This window comes from Homo sapiens, chromosome 11 (assembly GCF_000001405.40).
Source record: "Homo sapiens chromosome 11, GRCh38.p14 Primary Assembly".
Classification (NCBI taxonomy): Eukaryota; Metazoa; Chordata; class Mammalia; order Primates; family Hominidae; genus Homo; species Homo sapiens.
The window spans coordinates 96776658-96778677 of NC_000011.10; the positions used below are offsets into that span (position 1 = coordinate 96776658).

Genomic DNA, 2020 nt, shown 5'->3' on the forward strand with positions numbered 1-2020 from the left:
CACTTCTCTGTATTGGTTATTCTAGTTATACATCCTTCTAAATTTTTTTCAAAGTTTTCAACTTCTTTGCCTTTGGTTTGAATGTCCTCCCATAGCTCAGAGTAATTGGATCGTCTGAAGCCTTCTTCTCTCAGCTCATCAAAGTCATTCTCCATCCAGCTTTGTTCCTTTGCTGGTGAGGAACTGCGTTCCTTTGGAGGAGGAGAGGTGCTCTGTGTTTTAGAGTTTCCAGTTTTTCTGTTCTGTTTTTTCCCCATCTTTGTGGTTTTATCTACTTTTGGTCTTTGATGATGGTGATGTACAGATGGGTTTTTAGTGTGGATGTCCTTTCTGTTTGTTAGTTTTCCTTCTAACAGACAGGACCCTCAGCTGCAAGTCTGTTGGAATACCCTGCCGTGTGAGGTGTCAGTGTGTCCCTGCTGGGGGATGCCACCCAGTTAGGCTGCTCGGGGGTCAGGGGTCAGGGACACACTTGAGGAGGCAGTCTGCCCGTTCTCAGATCTCCAGCTGCGTGCTGGGAGAACCACTGCTCTCTTCAAAGCTGTCAGACAGGGACATTTAAGTCTGCAGAGGTTACTGCTGTCTTTTTGTTTGTCTGTGCCCTGCCCCCAGAGGTGGAGCCTACAGAGGCAGGCAGGCCTCCTTGAGCTGTGGTGGCTTCCACCCAGTTCGAGCTTCCTGGCTGCTTTGTTTACCTAAGCAAGCCTGGGCATTGGTGGGCACCCCTCCCCCAGCCTCGCTGCCACCTTGCAGTTTGATCTCAGACTGCTGTGCTAGCAATCAGTGAGACTCCATGGGTGTAGGACCCTCCGAGCCAGGTGCGGGATATAATCTTGTGGTGCGCCGTTTTTTTAAGCTGGTCCGAAAAGCGCAATATTCGGGTGGGAGTGACCCGATTTTCCAGGTGCGTCCGTCACCCCTTTCTTTGACTGGGAAAGGGAACTCCCTGACCTCTTGCGCTTCCCAAGTGAGGCAATGCCTCACCCTGCTTCGGCTCGCGCACGTTGCGCGCACCCACTTAACTGCGCCCACTGTCTGGCACTCCCTAGTGAGATGAACCCGGTACCTCAGATGGAAATGCAGAAATCACCGTCTTCTGCGTCGCTCACGCTGGGAGCTGTAGACCGGAGCTGTTCCTATTCGGCCATCTTGGCTCCTCCCCCGCTCAACACTTGTTATACTGTATCATTTAGGGAATAATGACAAGGAAAAAAGTCTGTACATGTTTACTACAGATAATTATCCTTATTTTTTTTCCAAATATATTCAATCCATGATTGGTTGAATCCAGGGATGCAGAATTCATGGATACTGAGGGACAACTATTATCCTTATAAAATATGTCTAAAGACTTCTCCATAAAAAATGCCCACTCTCCAGGGAAAATGATTTTGCTAAAGATTTATCCCAGTTTAGGGAGGGATTTCCTTCCATTCCAGGAACTTCCAGCCTTCCTTTTTCACCTGAGGCAGGAAGAAAGAAATATAGTAAACAGGAGTTAGAAATTAAAAAAAAAAATCCTGGAAACATTGTAGTCAGAGATAGAAGTAGGAGGCAAGTGGAAAATCTATTGTACTGGAGAAACGTTGTTAAGATCAAAACTCCAAGACACAGATTCACAAAAATACTGATATAAGGGTATAAGATTGCTACTACATACCAACAACAGTGTACTACAACAGTGGATATCATCTGAAAAAGCTGAGAAATACAGACTTTCCCACAAGACAGTGACTTAAGGAAGCCTGAAGTCAAGAGAAGAGACAAAACAAAGGCACTAGAGGAATTTGAAGCCTCTGGCACTTACAGCTATAGCAAACATTAAACACAGCCCACCTCCTACCCAGGTTAACACAATCCCTTATCTGAAAGATCACTTTACTTCAGCTCCTGTTACTCATTCCAACATGTATGGTTTTCAACAATGGCAAAAAATTTTAATGCATTCCAAAAGACAATTAAAAACACAGTCTTAAGAGACAAAGCCATCATCAGAACCAGATATAGATAGGACACAGAT

At 45.4% G+C, this 2020-nt stretch overlaps 1 annotated feature.

Annotated features, from left to right (window-relative positions):
• Positions 229-841: an enhancer, noted in NCBI's record as "H3K27ac-H3K4me1 hESC enhancer chr11:96647886-96648498 (GRCh37/hg19 assembly coordinates)". NCBI's record gives its function as "activates a minimal SCP1, AML or CMV promoter by ChIP-STARR-seq in primed H9 embryonic stem cells {active_cell/tissue: H9 hESC(primed)}" and the evidence as "EXISTENCE:reporter gene assay evidence [ECO:0000049][PMID:30033119]".